This window comes from Homo sapiens, chromosome 14, assembly GCF_000001405.40.
Source record: "Homo sapiens chromosome 14, GRCh38.p14 Primary Assembly".
NCBI lineage: Eukaryota > Metazoa > Chordata > Mammalia > Primates > Hominidae > Homo > Homo sapiens.
In genome coordinates, this window is record NC_000014.9 from 59,131,339 (window position 1) to 59,132,860 (window position 1,522).

Genomic DNA, 1,522 nt, shown 5'->3' on the forward strand with positions numbered 1-1,522 from the left:
CTTGAAAATTATATGAATTTATTGAAACACACTTACATTCGTTCCTTTACATATTGTCTAGGGCTGTTTTTGTGCTACAACACCACAGTTAAGCAGCTGCAACAGAGACGGTATGGGCTGCAAAGCTTAAAATATTTATATTATTATATGTTATTTATAAATATAAATATTTGTATTCATATCTGTCCCTTTACAGAAAATGTTTGCTCACCCTTGTTCTAAATTAAAGGGCAAAAGTTATAGGACAACCATATGCAGTGCATGATTCTTGATGGTCCTAGATCAGAAAAAAAAAAAATCTATAAAGAACATTTTTGGAAACAATTTGGGAAATGCAAATATGTTTTGTATAAAAGACAGTACATTTATAACAATGTTAAATTTCCTGGTGTGATAACAGTATTGTGGCTATGTGAGAGGATGTCCTTGCTCTTAGGAGATACATACTCAAGTATGTAGAACAGGAAGAGTCTAATATTTGCAACTTACTTACAAATGATTGGGGGAATATATACAAAGAGTGCACAAATGTATCACAAATGTGATAAAATGTCAACAGTCAATAAATGTAGGTAAAGGATATAAGGGTTTTTATCCTCCTATTCTTTCAGCATTTCTGGAGGTTTGCAAGTTTCCAAAATAAAAATAAATACAACCATAAAAACGATCATTTAAAAAGAACTCACCAGTCAGGATGTAAATGATTGATCAGTGGCACATGCTGAGGGTCAATTAGTTAATACAAGTGGTTTGAGGTTTGCATCTAAACCTCTTCAGCAGTTGTATTTTGGGGGTTGTCATCTATCAGCCCACAGTTCTCATCCTTGTGGCTTTTCTGAATTCTCCTTTCTGTTTTTTCTGAGCTGATTCCAGACGGCGAGGGGCTTACCAAAGATTTACTTGTTATTTGATCTCCACATTTGTAGCAAATATGATAGTCAGTGTTTATCCTGTCTTTCAAGAAACTTTTTTTTTAATTACCCACATACAATGTGTTTTTTTTGTTTTTCCTAGTGGGTCATAGAAATCCATCATTAAGTGTCATTTTGCCTTTTAAGAATTATTTAATTCCTTGAAGATTTATTATCTCTTTAATCAGAGCAGATTCTTAACACACCAGTAATGACCAGTAATGTACCAGTAATTACACACCATTTTCAACCTATATTTCATCTGTGTATTTTTATGGGAGTTTCTTTTCTAAATTATGCTTTTGTCTGTGGGCAGTAGTTTTGCGGTTTAGGAACCAGCTGATATACAGTTTATCTTGAAAGGCTACATATGGATCTGCAAGGGCTTTGAAATTCCATTCAGAAGCACTTGCAGGCAGGGACCATAATGTATTGCTGATTCTGGAATGCAGTAAATGTAATTGTCACTCTTCGGGACCAGTCCCTTGACTTCCATGTCAGGTTGGCTCATTGTAATATAAAATCCATTTTATCACATTTATTTTGTCTCAGATTGTCAAGCAGAGGCTGTGCAGGTTGTGGATTCTCAAGGAAAAGAAAACAGCATTTGT